This window comes from Homo sapiens, chromosome 8 (assembly GCF_000001405.40).
Source record: "Homo sapiens chromosome 8, GRCh38.p14 Primary Assembly".
Lineage (NCBI taxonomy): Eukaryota > Metazoa > Chordata > Mammalia > Primates > Hominidae > Homo > Homo sapiens.
Genome location: NC_000008.11, coordinates 47,288,018 through 47,304,970, shown reverse-complemented (window position 1 = coordinate 47,304,970; position 16,953 = coordinate 47,288,018). Strand labels below are relative to the sequence as shown.

Genomic DNA, 16,953 nt, shown 5'->3' with positions numbered 1-16,953 from the left:
AACGACAAGTGAGGGTGAGAGCAAGGGACAGAAAATTTTTATAACAACACATTCTTGTGGTAACAAACCCACTACTGTGATAATGATATTAATCTATTCATGAGGGCAAGGCCCTCATGGCCTAATCCTAATACAGGAACCATTAAAAGGTTCTTTTAATATATACCATTCTTTTAATGTATACCATTCTCACATTGGTATAAAGATATACCTGAGACTGGGTAATTTATAAAAGACGAGGTTTAACTGGCTCACAGTTCTGCAGGCTGTACAGGAAGAATGGTGGCATATGCTTCTGGGGACACCTCAGGGAGCTTTCACTCATGGTGGGAGGCAAAGTGGGTGCAGGCACTTCACATGGTGAAAGCAGGGGGAGGAGGAAGCAGACACTTCACATGGTGAAAGCAAGAGAGCAAAGTGGGCAGTACTACACACTTTTACGTATTTATTTATTTTAATTTTTTTTAATAGAGACGAGGTCTTGCTATGTTGGCCAGGTCGGTCTCAAACTCCTGGGCTCAACTGATCCTCCCATCTTGGCCTCCCAAAGTGCTGGGGTTACAGGCAGGAGACACAGTGCCTGACCACTACACACTTTTAAATTATCAGCTCACATAAGAACTCACTCACTATTGTGAGGACAGTACCAAGGGTTTTGGTGCTAAACCATTCATGAGAAATCCACTCCCATAATCCAGTCACCTTCCACCAGGCCCCATTTCCAACAATGGAAATTACAATTCAACATGAGATTTGGGCGGGGACACAGACTCAAACTATATTAGTCCCCTATTTTAATACTGTCACCATGGTAATTAAATTTCAACAAGAGTTTTGGAGAGGACATTCAAACCATAGCAAATGCTTCTTGGAAGATACCAATAAAATAAATTATAAAAACCCAGACAAGAATAAAAAGTACTATCAACTTAATATGGAAAGTCTTATCAGTAATCAAATACATCTGTTAAATGTCCTAAAAGAAAATACCGCAGGCCAGGTGCAGTGGCTCACACCTGTAATCTCAGCACTTTGGGAGGCCGAGGTGGGTGGATCAACTGAGGTCAGGAGTTCAAGACCAGCCTGGCCAATACGGTGAAACCCTGTCTCTACTAAAAATACAAAAATTAGTTGGGCATGGTGACGGGCGCCTGTAATCCAAGCTACCATGTCATCTTTGATGAACAAGGATGCAAAAATCACCAATATACTAATAAACTGAATTCAACAGCACATTAAAAGGATCATTCACATGATCAAGTGGGATTTACCCTTGGGATGCAAAGATGGTTCAACATATGCAAATAAATAAATGTGATACACCACGTTAATAGAATGGAAGACAAAATCCATATGATCACCTGAATAGATATGGAAAGGGGTGGAGCCAAGATGGCCAAACAGGAACAGCTCCAGTCTACAGCTCCCAGCGTGAGTGACGCAGAAGACGGGTGATTTCTGCATTTCCAACTGAGGTATTGGGTTCATCTCACTGGGGAGTGTTGGACAGAGGGTGCAGCACACTGGGTGCAGTGCACCCAGCGTAAGCCGAAGCAGGGCGAGGCATCACCTCACCCGGGAAGTGCAAGGGGTCATGGAATTCCCTTTCCTAGTCACAGAAAGGAGTGACAGACAGCACCTGGAAAATCGGGTCACTCCAACCCTAATACTGCGCTTTTCTAACGGTCTTAGCAAATGGCACACCAGGAGATTATATCCCACAACTGGTTCGGAGAGTCCTACGCCCACGGAGCCTCGCTCATTGCTAGCACAGCAGTCTGAGATCAAACTGCAAGGCAGCAGCCAGGCTGCGGGAGGGGCAGCCACCATTGCCAAGGCTTGAGTAGGTAAACAAAGCCACAGGGAAGCTGGAACTGGGTGGAGCGCACCACAGCTCAAGGAGGCCTGCCTGCCTCTGTAGACTCACCTCTGGGGGCAGGGCATAACCAAACAAAACGCAGCAGAAATCTCTGCAGAATTAAATGTACCTGTCTGACAGCTTTGAAGAGAGTAGTGGTTCTCCCAGCATGCAGCTGGAGATCTGAGAACGGACACACTGCCTCCTCAAGTGGGTCCCTGACCCTCGAGTAGCCTAACTGGGAGGGACCCCCCAGTAGGGGCAGACTGACACCTCACATGGCCAGGTACTCCTCTGAGACAAAAACTTCCAGAGGAATGATCAGGCAGCAACATTTGGTATAAACCAATATTGGCTGTTCTGCAGCCTCCGCTGCTGATACCCAGGCAAACAAGGTCTGGAGTGGACCTCCACCAAACTCCAACAGACCTGCAGCTGAGGGTCCTGACTGTTAGAAGGAAAACTAACAAACACAAAGGACATGCACACCAAAACCCCATCTGTACGTCACCATCATCAAAGACCAAAGGTACATAAAACTACAAAGATGGGGAAAAAACAGAGCAGAAAAACTGGAAACTCTAAAAATCAGAGTGCCTCTCCTCCTCCAAAGGAACACAGCTCCTCACCAGCAACGGAACAAAGCTGGACGGAGAGTGACTTTGACGAGTTGAGAGAAGAAGGCTTCAGACGATCAAACTACTCCGAGCTAAAGGAGGAACTTCGAACCCATGGCAAAGAAGTTAAAAATCTTGGAAAAAAACGAGACAAATGGCTAACTAGAATAACCAATGCAGAGAAGTCCTTAAAGGACCTCATGGAGCTGAAAACCACAGCACGAGAACTACGTGACGAATGCACAAGCCTCAGTAGCCGATTCGATCAACTGGAAGAAAGGGTATCAGTGATGGAAGATGAAATGAATGAAATGAAGTGAGAAGAGAAGTTTAGAGAAAAAAGAATTAAAAGAAACGAACAAAGCCTCCAAGAAATATAGGACTATGTGAAAAGACCAAATCTACGTCTCATTGGTGTACCTGAAAGTGACAGGGAGAATGGAACCAAGTTGGAAAACACTCTGCAGGATATTATCCAGGAGAACTTCCCCAATCTAGCAAGGCAGGCCAACATTCAAATTCAGGAAATACAGAGAACGCCACAAAGATACTCGTCGAGAAGAGCAACTCCAAGACACATAATTCTCAGATTCACCAAAGTTGAAATGAAGGAAAAAATGTTAAGGGCAGCCAGAGAGAAAGGTCGGGTTACCCACAAAGGGAAGCCCATCAGACTAACAGCGGATCTCTCGGCAGAAACTCTACAAGCCAGAAGAGAGTGGGGGCCAATATTCAACATTCTTAAAGACAAGAATTTTCAACCCAGAATTTCATATCCAGCCAAACTAAGCTTCATGAGTGAAGGAGAAATAAAATCCTTTACAGATAAGCAAATGCTGAGAGATTTGGTCACCACCAGGCCTGCCCTAAAAGAGCTCCTGAAGGAAGCACTGAACATGGAAAGGAACAACCAGTACCAGCCACTGCAAAAACATGCCAAACTGCAAAGACCATCAAGGCTAGGAAGAAACTGCATCAACTAATGAGCAAAATAACCAGCTAACATCATAATGACAGGATCAAATTCACACATAACAGTAGTAACCTTAAATGTAAATGGGCTAAATGCTCCAATAAAAAGACACAGACTGGCAAATTGGATAAAGAGTCAAGACCCATCAGTGTGCGGTATTCAGGAAACCCATCTCACGTGCAGAGACACACATAGGCTCAAAATAAAGGATGAAGGAAGATCTACAAGGAAATGGAAAACAAAAAAAGGCAGGGGTTTCAATCCTAGTCTCTGATAAAACAGACTTTAAGCCAACAAAGATCAGAAGAGACAAAGAAGGCCATTTCATAATGGTAAAGGGATCATTCAACAAGAAGAGCTAACTATCCTAAATATATATGCACCCAATACGGGAGCACCCAGATTCATAAAGCAAGTCCTTAGAGACCTACAAAGATACTTAGACTCCCACACAATAATAATGGGAGACTTTAACACCCCACTATCAACATTAGACAGATCAGTGAGACAGAAAGTTAACAAGGATATCCAGGCACTGAACTCAGCTCTGGACCAAGCGGACCTAATAGACATCTACAGAACTCTCCACCCCCAATCAACAGAATACACATTCTTCTCAGTACCACACCACACCTATTCCAAATTGACCACATATTTGGAAGTAAAGCACTCCTCAGCATATGTAAAAGAACAGAAATTATAACAAACTGTCTCTCAGACCACAGTGCAATCAAACTAGAACTCAGGATTAAGAAACTCACTCAAAACCGCTCAACTACATGGAAACTGGACAATCTGCTCCTGAATGACTGCTGGGTACATAACGAAATGAAGGCAGAAATAAAGATGTTCTTGGAAACCAACAAGAACAAAGACACAACATACCAGAATCTCTGGGACACATTCAAAGCAGTGTGTAGAGGGAAATTTGTAGCACTAAATGCCCACAAGAGAAAGCAGGAAAGATCTAAAATTGACACCCTAACATCCCAATTAAAAGAACTGGAGAAGCAAGAGCAAACACATTCAAAAGCTAGCAGAGGCAAGAAATAAGATCAGAGTAGAACTGAAGGAAATAGAGACACAAAAAACCCTTCAAAAAAATCAATGAATCCAGGAGCTGGCTTTTTGAAAAGATCAACAAAACTGATAGACTGCTAGCAAGACTAATAAAGAAGAAAAGAGAGAAGAATCAGATAGACGGAATAAAAAATGATAAAGGGGATATCACCACCAATCCCACAGATATACAAACTACCATCAGAGAATACTATAAACACCTTTACACAAATAAATTAGAAAATCTAGGAGAAACGGGTAAATTCCTGGACACATACACCCTCCCAAGACTAAACCAGCAAGAAGCTGAATCTCTGAATGGACCAATAACAGGCTCTGAAATTGAGGCAATAATTAATAGCTTACCAAACAAAAAAAGTCCAGGACCAGACGGATTCACAGCCAAATTCTACCAGAGGTACAAAGAGGAGCTGGTACCATTCCTTCTGAAACTATTCCAATGAATAGAAAAAGAGGAAATCCTCCCTAACGCATTTTATGAGGCCAGCATCATCCTGATACCAAAGCCTGGCAGAGACACAACCAAAAAAGAGAATTTTAGACCAATATCCCTGATGAACATCGATGCAAAAATCCTCAATAAAACACTGGCACACCGAATCCAGCAGCACATCAAAAACCTTATCCACCATGATCAAGTGGGCTTCATCCCTGGGATGCAAGGCTGGTTCAACATACAGAAATCAATAAATGTAATCCATCATATAAACAGAACCAACGAGTAAAACCACATAATTATCTCAATAGATGCAGAAAAGGCCTTTGACAAAATTCAACAACCCTTCATGCTAAAAACTCTCAATAAATTAGGTATTGATGGGACGTATCTCAAAATAATAAGAGCTATTTATGACAAACCCACAGCCAATATCATACTGAATGGGCAAAAACTGGAAGCATTCCCTTTGAAAACGGGCACAAGACAGGGATGCCCTCTCTCACCACTCCTATTCAACATAGTGTTGGAAGTTCTGGCCAGGGCAATCAGGCAGGAGAAGGAAATAAAGGGTATTCAATTAGGAAAAGAGGAAGTCAAATTGTCCCTGTTTGCAGATGACATGATTGTATATCTAGAAAACCCCATTGCCTCAGCCCAAAATCTCCTTAAGCTGACAGGCAACTTCAGCAAAGTCTCAGGATACAAAATCAATGTGCAAAAATCACAAGCATTCTTATACACCAATAACAGACAGAGAGCCAAATCATGAGTGAACTCCCATTCACAATTGCTTCAAAGAGAATAAAATACCTAGGATTCCAACTTACAAGAGACGTGAAGGACCTCTTCAAGGAGAACTACAAACCACTGCTCAATGAAATAAAAGAGGATACAAACAAATGGAAGAACATTCCATGCTCATGGGTAGGAAGAGTCAATATCGTGAAAATGGCCACACTGCCCAAGGTAATTTATAGATTCAATGCCATCCCCATCAAGCTACCAATGACTTTCTGCACAGAATTGGAAAAAACTACTTTAAAGTTCATATGGAACCAAAAAGGAGCCTGCATTGCCAAGTCAATCCTAAGCCATAAGAACAAAGCTGGAGGCATCACGCTACCTGACTTCAAACTATACTACAAGGCTACAGTAACCAAAACACCATGGTACTGGTACCAAAACAGAGATATAGACCAATGGAACAGAACAGAGCCCTCAGAAATAATGCCGCATATCTACAACTATCTGATCTTTGACAAACCTGACAAAAACAAGAAATGGGGAAAGGATTCCCTATTTTACAAATGGTGCTGGGAAAACTGGCTAGCCATATGTAGAAAGCTGAAACCAGATCCCTTCCTTACACCTTATACAAAAATTAATTCAAGATGGATTAAAGACTTACATGTTAGACCTAAAACCATAAAAACCCTAGAAGAAAACCTAGGCAATACCATTCAGGACACAGGCATGGGCAAGGACTTCATGTCTAAAACACCAAAAGCAATGGCAACAAAAGCCAAAATTGACAAACGCCATCTAATTAAACTAAAGAGCTTCTGCACAACAAAAGAAACTACCATCAGAGTGAACAGCAACCTAAAGAATGGGAGAAAATTTTTGCAATCTACTCATCTGACAAAGGGCTAATATCCAGAATCTACAATGAACTCAAACAAATTTACAAGAAAAAAACAACCCCATCAAAAAGTGGGCAAAGGATATGAACAGACACTTCTCAAAAGAAGACATTTATACCGCCAAAAGACACGTGAAAAGATGCTCATCATCACTGGCCATCAGAGAAATGCAAATCAAAACCACGGTGAGATACCATCTCACACCAGTTAGAATGGCAATCATTAAAAAGTCAGGAAACAACAGGTACTGGAGAGGATGTGGAGAAACAGGAACACTTTTACACTGTTGGTGGGAGTGTAAACTAGTTCAACCATTGTGGAAGTCAGTGTGGCGATTCCTCAGGGATCTAGAACTAGAAATACCATTTGACCCAGCCATCCCATTACTGGGTATATACCAAAAGGATTACAAAATATGCTGCTATGAAGACACATGCCCACGTACGATTATTGCGGCACTATTCACAATAGCAAAGACTTGGAAGCAACCCAAATGTCCAACAATGATAGACTGGATTAAGAAAATGTGGCACATATTCACCATGGAATACTATGCAGCCATAAAAAATGATGAGTTCATGTCCTTTGTAGGGACATGGATGAAGCTGGAAACCATCATTCTCAGCAAACTATCACAAGGACAAAAAACCAAACAGCGCATGTTCTCACTCACAGGTGGGAAGTGAACAATGAGAACAGATGGACACAGGAAGGGGAACATCACACACCGGCGCCTGTCGTGGGGTGGGGGAGGTGGGGAGGGATAGCATTAGGAGATATACCTGATGTTAAATGACGAGTTAATGGGTGCAGCACACCGACATGGCACATGTATACATATGTAACAAACCTGCACGTTTTGCACATGTACCCTAAAACTTAAAGTATAATAATAAAAAAAAATAGATATGGAAAAAGCATGTGACACAACTCAAAATTATTTCATGATAAAAACTGTCAACACATTATGTATAGAAGGAATATATTGTGTTTATACACAATAAAGGCCATATGTAACAAGCCCACAGCTGCCATGCTCCCTGGAAAAAGGTAAAAGCTTTTCCTCTATGATCAAAAACAAGATAAGAATGCCCGCTCTTGCCACTGCTATTCAACAGAGTTAGATGTCCTGGCAAGAGCGATTAGGCAAGAGAAAGAAATAAAGGCATCCATATCAGAGGAAGAAGAGAAATCATCTGTTTGCTGATGTCATGGTCTCACATATAGAAAATGCTAACAACTTCACCAAAAAACCATTAAGTCTGATAAACAAATTCAGTAAAGTTGCAGGATACAAAATCTACAGTGTTTCTCTATTCTAAGAATGAAGTACCTGAAAAAGAAATTAAGAACTCAATCCCGTTTACAGTAGCATCGAGAAAAAGCAACTTAGAAGTAAATTTAAGGAGGCAATAGATGTATATACTAGAAAATACAAAACACTGATGAAAGATATAGTAGATGACACAAACACATGGAAAGCTATCCATATTCATGGAATGCAAGAATATTGTTAAACTATTCATACTTCCCAAAGTGATATTCAGATTCAATGCAATGCCTAACGAAATTCCAATGTCATTCTTCACAGAATAAAACAATCCTAAAACTCATATGGAACCACAAAAAACCCCAAATGGCCAAAGCGAAAAGAACAAACCTAGAGGTATCACAGTACTTGATTTTAAAACCTGTTACAAAGCTAATGTAACCAAAACAGCACAGCATAAAAACCGACCAACTAACCAATCAAACAGGGTAGAGAGCCCAGAAGTAAACCCACACATTTGTGGTCAATTATTTACAACAAACGTGCCAAGAATATACAATGGAAAGAGGACAATCCTCAATAAATTGTGCTGGGAAAACAGGTTAACCACATGCAAAAGAAAGAAATTAGACCCTTATCTCACACCATACACCAAAATCAACTAAAAATGGACTAATGACTTAAACATAAAACCTGAAACTGTAAAGCTACTGAAATAAAACATAGGGAAAATGCTCCATAACACTGGTCTGGGCAAAGATTTCTTAAATATTACCCTAAAAGCACTGACAACAAAAGCAAAAACATATGAGATTGCATCTAACTGAAAAGATTATACACAGCAAAGAAACAACAGAGCAAAAGATGTGCCATGGATTGAGAGAAAATATCTACAAACTACATATCTGATAAGGCGCTAATATCTAAAATAGACAAAGAACTCAACTCAATAGCAAGAAAACAAAGAACCCAATTTAAAAATGTGCAGAGGACCTAAACATTGCTCAAAAGATGTACAAATGGCCAACAGATATATATTAAAATGCTCATCATCACCACTCACCAGGGAAATGCAGATTAAAGCCACAATGAGGGATCACCTCACACCTGTTAGAAAGACTATCAAAAAGATGAAAGATAACAAGCGTTGGTGAGTGTGTAGCAAAAAGGGAACTTGTACATTGTTGGTGGGAATGTAAATTATCACAGCTATTATGGAGAACAGTATGAAGGTCTCTCAAAAAACTAAAAATAGAACTACCATATAATCTAGTAATCCCACTTCTGGGCCAAAGGATTGAAATCAGTATGCTAAAAAAATATCTGCACTCCCATGTTAACTGCAGTGCTATTCACAATAGCTAAGATTTGGAAGCAATCTAGGTGTCTAGACGAATGCATAAAGTAAATATAGTATATATACACCAATGGAATACTATCCAGTCTTGATAAAGAAGGAAATTCTATCATTTGCAACATGAATGAACCTGGAGGACATTACGTTAACTCAGATAAGCCAGGCACACAAAGACAAATACAGCATGATCTTACTTACATGGGGAATCTAAAAAAGTAGAACTCACAGAATTGTGGTAGAATGTTGATTACCAGAGGCTGGGAGAGAAAAGTGGATGGAGAAAGGGAAGATGCTGACTAAAGGATACAAAATTTCATTTAGACAGAAGTAATATGCTTTAGTAATCTAATACACAGAATGAAGACTATAATAATAGTGCATTGTATTTTACAATTTTTTAAAATTTATAGGCATGCAAAAAAGCAGAAAAATACAACTCATAAGGAGGACAAATAGACACAGAAATGACACAGACAGATTTACCAAAACAGCCATTAAAAACAGCTATTATAAATATACTCTGTATGTTCAAAATATAGAAGAAAGTATGTCATGTTAAGAAAAGACATGGACAATATAAAGACTCACATCAAACTTCCAGAAATGAAAAATACAATGTCAGAGATGACCAATACACTGGATAGTATTAGCTGCAGAATATACTGAAGAATTTTTAAAAAGTTATTAAACTAGAAGATGTAGCAACAGAAACCACCCAAAATGAAATGAAGGGGAAAAAACAATGACAGCAAAAATGAGACATGACGCAACACTAAGCAGCCTAATTAATATACATGTAATTGGAGTCACAGGAGGAAACGAAAAGGGGAGTCAGAAAAAAAATTAAGAAGTAAAAGCCAAAAACTTACCAAATGTGATGAAAACTACAAACTCACATACATGCAGAAAAGAGTTAACATACAAAAAATACAACAATTAGCCAGACGTGGTGGCACATGCCTGTAGGACCAGCTACTCTGGAGGCTGAGGTGAGAGGATCACTTGAGCCCAGGAGATCAAGGCTACAGTGAGCTACGATCGCACCATTGCGTTCTAGCCTGGGTGACACAGCAAGACCCTGTCTCTAAATAAATAAATAAAAATAGATTTCTATCCTTTCAGTGTAATAAACGATGGCCACGAGTACGACTATATGCTAAGTCCTGTGTATCCTCCTAGTCCACTGCTGAACCTTCTAGGGAGAGGGTGCCTATGTTACTAGCCCCTAATACAAACCCTGGGCACTGAGTCTCTAATGAGTTCCCTGGTACATAACACTTCACACATGTTGTCTAAACATTTTGCTGGAAGAATTAAGCATATACTGTGTGACTCCACTGGGAGAGGACTCGTGGAAGACAGCTGATTTAAATTTGTATCTTTTTGCCCAGGTATGGTGGCTGACATGTGCAATTCCAGCACTTTGATATATCTGCACTGGAAGAATAGCAGGATAAAAAACATTCGGTGTGCAGTGAGGGTGGGAAGTGAAAGAGAAGTGAGATCAATATTTATCCATGTTGAGAAGTACAGCACAAGCATGTTATTTAGAGATAAGTGAGTAAAGAACAAAAGAATCCCCTAAGAGTCAAAAGTGGTTGTTCTCGAGGAAGGACAGGAAAAAAAAAACAAAAAAAAAAATGACAACTATGATTAGCAAATGTTATAAAGTGAATAAAAGTTTTGAAATACTTCATTCTTACCTTGGGAAGCTCCGACAGCTTCTCATCACTTGTCAAAGACTGATTACTTGCACAAGAAGCACAGTCTGAGATTTCCACAGCACCCTCGTCATCTTCAAATTCATCACAGTCACTAGCCTCTGCCCTGTCACTGTCAATCTCCCAGTCGATAAACTGTAATTCATCTAAAAAATATAATTTTTAACTTGCTTAATTATCTCCTTAATCTTTCACTTTTATATCTCTTTTATTCTTAGCAGTTAATATATCCATGTCACTCAATAATTTTAAAAAATATATTTAGGGCCAGGCACAATAGCTCATGCCTGTAATCCTAGCGCTTTGGGAGGCCAGGGTGGGCAGAATGCCAAAACTCAGCAGTTCAAGACTAGCCTGGCCAACAAGATGAAATGCTGTCTCTATTAAAAATACAAAAAATTAGCTGGACACGGTGGCACACACCTATAGTCCCAGCTACTCAGGTGGCTGAGGCACCAGAATCGCTTGAACCCGAGAGGTGGAGGTTGTAGTGAGCCGAGATCTTGCCACTGAACTCCAGCCTGGGCAACAGAACGAGACTCTGTCTCAAAAAAAATTTAGACAGTGAAAAGTATATTTCTACTCTTATCTCAAATCACTGTTTCTCCCAAATCTTATCCCAACCCCAATTTTAAGTTAACTACTTTTATTAGGTGTTTCTGTATCTTTGTAGAGTTTCTCCAGCATGTTTAAGCAAATAAACTATGTATTGTTATTTTTTTCCTCCTTTCTTACACAGCTAGACTTTTTCACTAAACATAATTAAGAGGATGTAGTAGGATCGCTCGAGCCCAGGAGTTTGAAACTGCGGTGAGCTATGATCCACTGCACTCCAGCCTGGGTGACAGAGCATGACCTCATCTCTTAAAAAAAACAGCCACTATAATGATCATAACAGACCGAAGGTCAGACCACCACTGAGAGAAGCAGATGCATAATGGCAACGGCTTCCCACATTAACATCAAATTTAGTCACGGAAGCCAGGCAGGGGAACACATTAGAGATTTTCCAGGTTGCTGAACCTTCTCAACAGGAAGCCAGGGAGAGACAAGGGAAAAACACAAGTGCCCTCAGAGCCGCTGCCGGTATCACACATCTGTGCAGCACTCATTCATTCATTCACTCCTTCATTCATTAGACAAAGCAAATGCCTAAAAAGAGCCCATCACACCATTCGAGATACTCACAATACAAAATAAATACAATAGAGAAAACAGCACCATTCCTAGCCTGAAGTAGCCCACAAATTAATACATATTGCAATGTGATGCATGCTATGAAATAACGGGGGCTTTCGTCACAAAACTTTTGTGGTCACAAAACTTTTAAAAAGCAGGAAGACTGCTACTATTACACTTAAATTTGCATTTTACAGATGAGGAAATTGGGTCTACAATAATTTAAGAGATTTTCCAAAAGTTATAAAAACTTTTAGACAATTGGTAAAAACCAAATGGAAGGGAGGCTGGGCGCGACAGCTCACATGTGTAATCCCAGCACTTTGGGAGGCACAAACCATACTATTTACCCATTTTTATAAACTTTGTATTCTGAAATGTATGAAGACAAACCAAGTAACAATAAATTTCATTTAATATGGTTGAATCAATAATAGAACTGCTATCAGCTTATATACAATCTTAAAATACCACTTCACCTGGTAACTACTAAAAGGTCAATGATATTAATAGTTACCAAAATGAAATACAAAGTGGTCAAAAGAATTTAACTACCCTCCCGAGAAGCTGTCTGTACAAACTGAACCCTAGGTAACTAACATGAACCGTCAAGAGTTAAAAGTCATAAGCTTATTTTGAAAACATTAAGACACTGAAATACTCTATAGATGATTTGTATATTTTAAAAATTCTAAAAGGACATGATTTCCATAATTCAACATCTGTGGTTATCAACTAGGGGTGATTTTTGTCCTTCATGGGACCCTTGACAACATCTGGAGACATCTTTGGTTATCATCACTGTGGCTGGGATTCTACTGTGACCCGGCAGGTAAAGGCAAGGGACACGGCAGAATATCCTACAGGCATAGGAAGGTGTTACTCCCCATAGCAAAGAATCATCTGGCCCAAAATGTCAAGAGTGTCAAGGATGAGAAACTCTGCTTTCAATTGTCTAAAACATGACACAATATAAAACGCCATCTGAATAGAAATTTGTCAGTACGTTACACCTCTACCACACACTGGTTGTCACAGTATTTACCGAACAGGTTGGGAAGAAGGCAGTGTGGGTGTGGCACTGTGTAGACGTTGAAAGAACTGGCTATGGAGCAGAGACCTAAAATGGAATCCCAATCCATTCTCATCAGTCCAAGCTTAAGTTGTTAACTGTAAAAATAATATCTGTAATACCTATCTCTTAGAGTTTCTTAGAGTTGTTTTGAGAAATATTAAACAAGAAAATGTTTCTGAAGTGTTTAGCATAGAGGGTGGGACTCAGTAAAATCCTAACTATTAGAAAGGAATTTAATTTTCATTCTCTGGGACAAATGCCTAAAGGTGCAGTTGCTGGGCTATATGGTAATTGCATGTTTAGTCTTTAAGAAACCGCCAGACTGTTTTCCAGAGTGGCTATACCATTTTACTGTACACCTGCAATGTACTGGTGATCCAGTTTCTCCACAACCTCACCAGCATTTTGTACTGTCACTACTTTTTATTGTAGCCATTCTGATAGGTGGAATGTTAATGATAAATACTAGAAAGGAATGTAAGTTTCTTCCAATATTAAATCCAATATTTAACAGAAACTGGATTCCTAACAAAATTATCAATTTACCTTCATTACTCTGATCTTCTGGACACAATATGTTCCTGTTACAAAATCTGTCTATTCTAGAGCAATGTCCATTACCTCTCTGTAACTGAGAAAGTGTCTTATCTTCATCCGACAAATCACTTCCACTGGAGCTCCATGTTATGTCTGTAAGCCCACTGGTGCTTTTAGATGTGGTGGTTTCTGTTGAAGGAAAAGAAAGCACATAAATATGATCTCCTTATATGGTCATTTATCAGAATACAATTTTATGCATGTAATTTTGCCAAAGTCACAAATACACAAAACTCTGTGATAGGAAAAGCAATGTCTATGTCAAATCTTCCTACCTAAAGTTCTACGTACAATCTCACTAACATTCTCTGAGTTCGAAGCCAAGTTCCAAGAAGAAAAAGAAGTAGAACTGGTTAAGTTATACAAAAAAAGGAAAGTGACTAGAGCACAAATGAAAACCGGAAAAATAAGACTTGAAATAACATTTATAAAAGTATAACTTTCTGGGGTATTTGATGAAAACAAAAAATTTTTTAAAATGCAAAACACAAAGTCAAAACTTATGAGTAACAGGAATGCTTCTGTGTGCTTCCTTTGCCATGCTAAGAGCTCTGGTAGCAGGGTGCTTAAAACACTTAAGACCAAACCTTGTATTTAATTAAACTTTTTATTTTGAGATAATATTAGATTCATATATAGTTGTAAGAAATAAGAGAAAACTCTTGTATCCTTCACCCAGTCCCTCCAATGGTAATATCTTGCAAAACTGTAGTATAACACAACCAGGATACTGACACTGATCCAGTCAAGATACAGATCAATTCTATCACCACAGGATGCCTTTATTACCTTTTTATAGCTACACCATCTCCTGGCCCCATACCAATCCCTGAACTCTGTCAACCACTACTCAGTTTTGCATTTCTGTAATTTTGTCATTTTAAAAATGTTATATAATCGAGACCAGCCTGGCCAACATGGTGAAACCCTGTCTCTACTAAAAATACAAAAAATTAGCCAGGCGTGGTTGCGGGTGCCTGTAATCCCAGCTACTCAGGGGGGGCTGAGGCAGGAGAATCGCTTGAACCCAGGAGGCAGAGGTTGCAGTGAGCTGAGATCGAGCCACTGCACTCCAGCCTGGGCAACAAGAGTGAAACTCCATCTCACACACACACACACAAAAAGGTTATATAAATAAAATCACTATGTAACTTTTTAGAATTGGCTTTTTTCACTCAGAATAATTTCCTAGATATTCATCTAAGTTGTGTGTATCAACATTTATTTTCTTTTTATTACTGAATAGTACACCATGGTACTATGCACCATAGTTTGTTTAATCATTCACCTACTGAAAGACATCTGTGTTGTTTCTAGTTTGGGGCTATTATGAACAAAGCTGCTTATGAACATCTGTGTATAAGATGTTATGTGAATTTAATTTTCATTCTCTGGGACAAATGCCTAAGGGTGCACTTGCTGGGTTATATGGTAATTGCATGTTTAGTCTTTAAGAAACTGCCAGACTGTTCTCCAGAGTGGCTGTACCATTTTACTACACACCTGCAATGTACTGGTGATCCAGTCTCTCCACAACCTCACCAGCATTTTGTATTGTCACTATTTTTCATTGTAGCCATTCTGATAGGTGGAAAACCTGACAGAATGGGGCTATTTCATCTTGGCAGAATCAAAAGTCAACAGCAAACTTTTCTGATATTGGTCAGAAAAGGAATATATACCTAATAAAAATCAATTATTCTGTTTATATTCATAATTGTAAATATAATGCTAAAACATATATATGTACATATATATCTTATCCTATGCAGTATGGTATTTGATATATTTCAAAGCACATTTTAATACACTATGAAATTAAGAGATTAGATATTTATAAAATTCATGTTTTACAAAAAATAAACCTAGGCTTCATTAGATACATATTTACAGAACCCCTCTGATACAGTAAACCATGAGGAAACAAAAAAAACTCCAGCCTAGGCAACACAGTGAGACCCAATCTCTACAAAAAGTTAAAAAATTAGCTGGGCACAGTGGTACATGCCTGTAGTCCCAGCTACTTGGGAGTCTGAAGCAGGAGGACGAGTTTAAGAGCAAATGTTTGAGGCTGCAGTGAGCTATGACTGCACCACAGCACTCCATCCCGAGTGACAGGGTAAGATCCCATCTCTAAAAAAGAAAAGAAAAGAAAGCTCCTTCCCACAAGGAATATGTGTGGTCTGGAAGAAACACTAATCATGAAAAAAACTAACAATATACCAGATGTATGTCATGGAATAATGGTGGCACAAAAAAAATGGAATGTTCCACTTTGCATCGATCAGGAAAAGAGGATTCACTGACAAGATGATGTCTGAAAAAACAGTACTTACAAAGGCACAAAAACATGGAATAGTCAACATTTACTGAACACTTACTACTTTGTGCCACAAACATCTAGAATTACTGAAGTGGCCTATTGTTCACGTTATAAAAGGAAAAATAAACTATTCAGAATATTCTAAGAATCTATATCTATCTAAATAGCTAATAAAATAAACTGAGTACTTGCAAAAGACATTATCAATCTCTATCATTATTATGCATCTGAAAAATAAGTCAAGAAGGAAGTTATCAGCAGGGAGCGGTGGCTCACGCCTGTAATCCTAGACTTCGGGAGGCCGAGGTGGGTGGATCACGAGGTCAGAAGTTCAAGACCAGCCTGGCCAAGATGGTGAAACCCCATCTCTACTAAAAATACAAAAAATTAGCCAGGCATGGTTGTGGGCACCTGTAATCCCAGCTACTCGGGAGACTGAGGCAGAGAATTGCTTGAACCCAGGAGGCAGAGGTTGCAGTGAGCAGAGATCACACCACTGTACTCTAGCCTGGGTGACAGAGTGAGACATTATCTCAAAAAAAAAAAAGAAGGAAGTTATCACTATTTGCAAATTATGAAATGAATTCATGGAAAAGTCAAGAAACCAACTGAAAAATTACTACCGTTAATAAGGAAGTCCAATAAAGGTGGCAAGGTACAAACTACAATACAGAAATCAAATTTAAAGCAGTAGCAAAAACCAATAAAATACCTACAAGAAACTTAAGTGTTGCAGGAAGTCAGGGACCCCGAACAGAGGGACGAGCTGGAGCCACCGCAGAGGAACATAAATTATGTAGATTTCATTTTAATATGGACAT

The 16,953-nt window shown here is 39.4% G+C and overlaps 1 protein-coding gene across 53 annotated transcripts in view; it reads right to left on the bottom strand.

The window, feature by feature from the left end:
* The window catches only part of SPIDR (scaffold protein involved in DNA repair), a 475,429-nt gene that overhangs the window by 431,336 nt on the left and 27,140 nt on the right, over positions 1-16,953 (bottom strand). For 34 of the 53 annotated variants that reach the window (NR_148202.1, NR_148205.1, NR_148204.1 and 31 more), the window contains 2 exons: positions 13,834-13,938; positions 10,941-11,104 (listed from right to left, as the gene is read on the bottom strand). Coding sequence is in view for 39 of the 53 variants with exons in the window: in XM_017013268.3 (XP_016868757.1) it covers positions 10,941-11,104; positions 13,834-13,938 (269 nt within the window). In the remaining 14 variants the exon portion in view is untranslated. Of the gene's footprint in view, positions 1-10,940; positions 11,105-13,833; positions 13,939-16,848; positions 16,899-16,953 lie in introns of those variants that run through there. The other 19 variants (XM_017013270.3, XM_047421644.1, XM_047421642.1 and 16 more) reach the window with 4 other exon arrangements.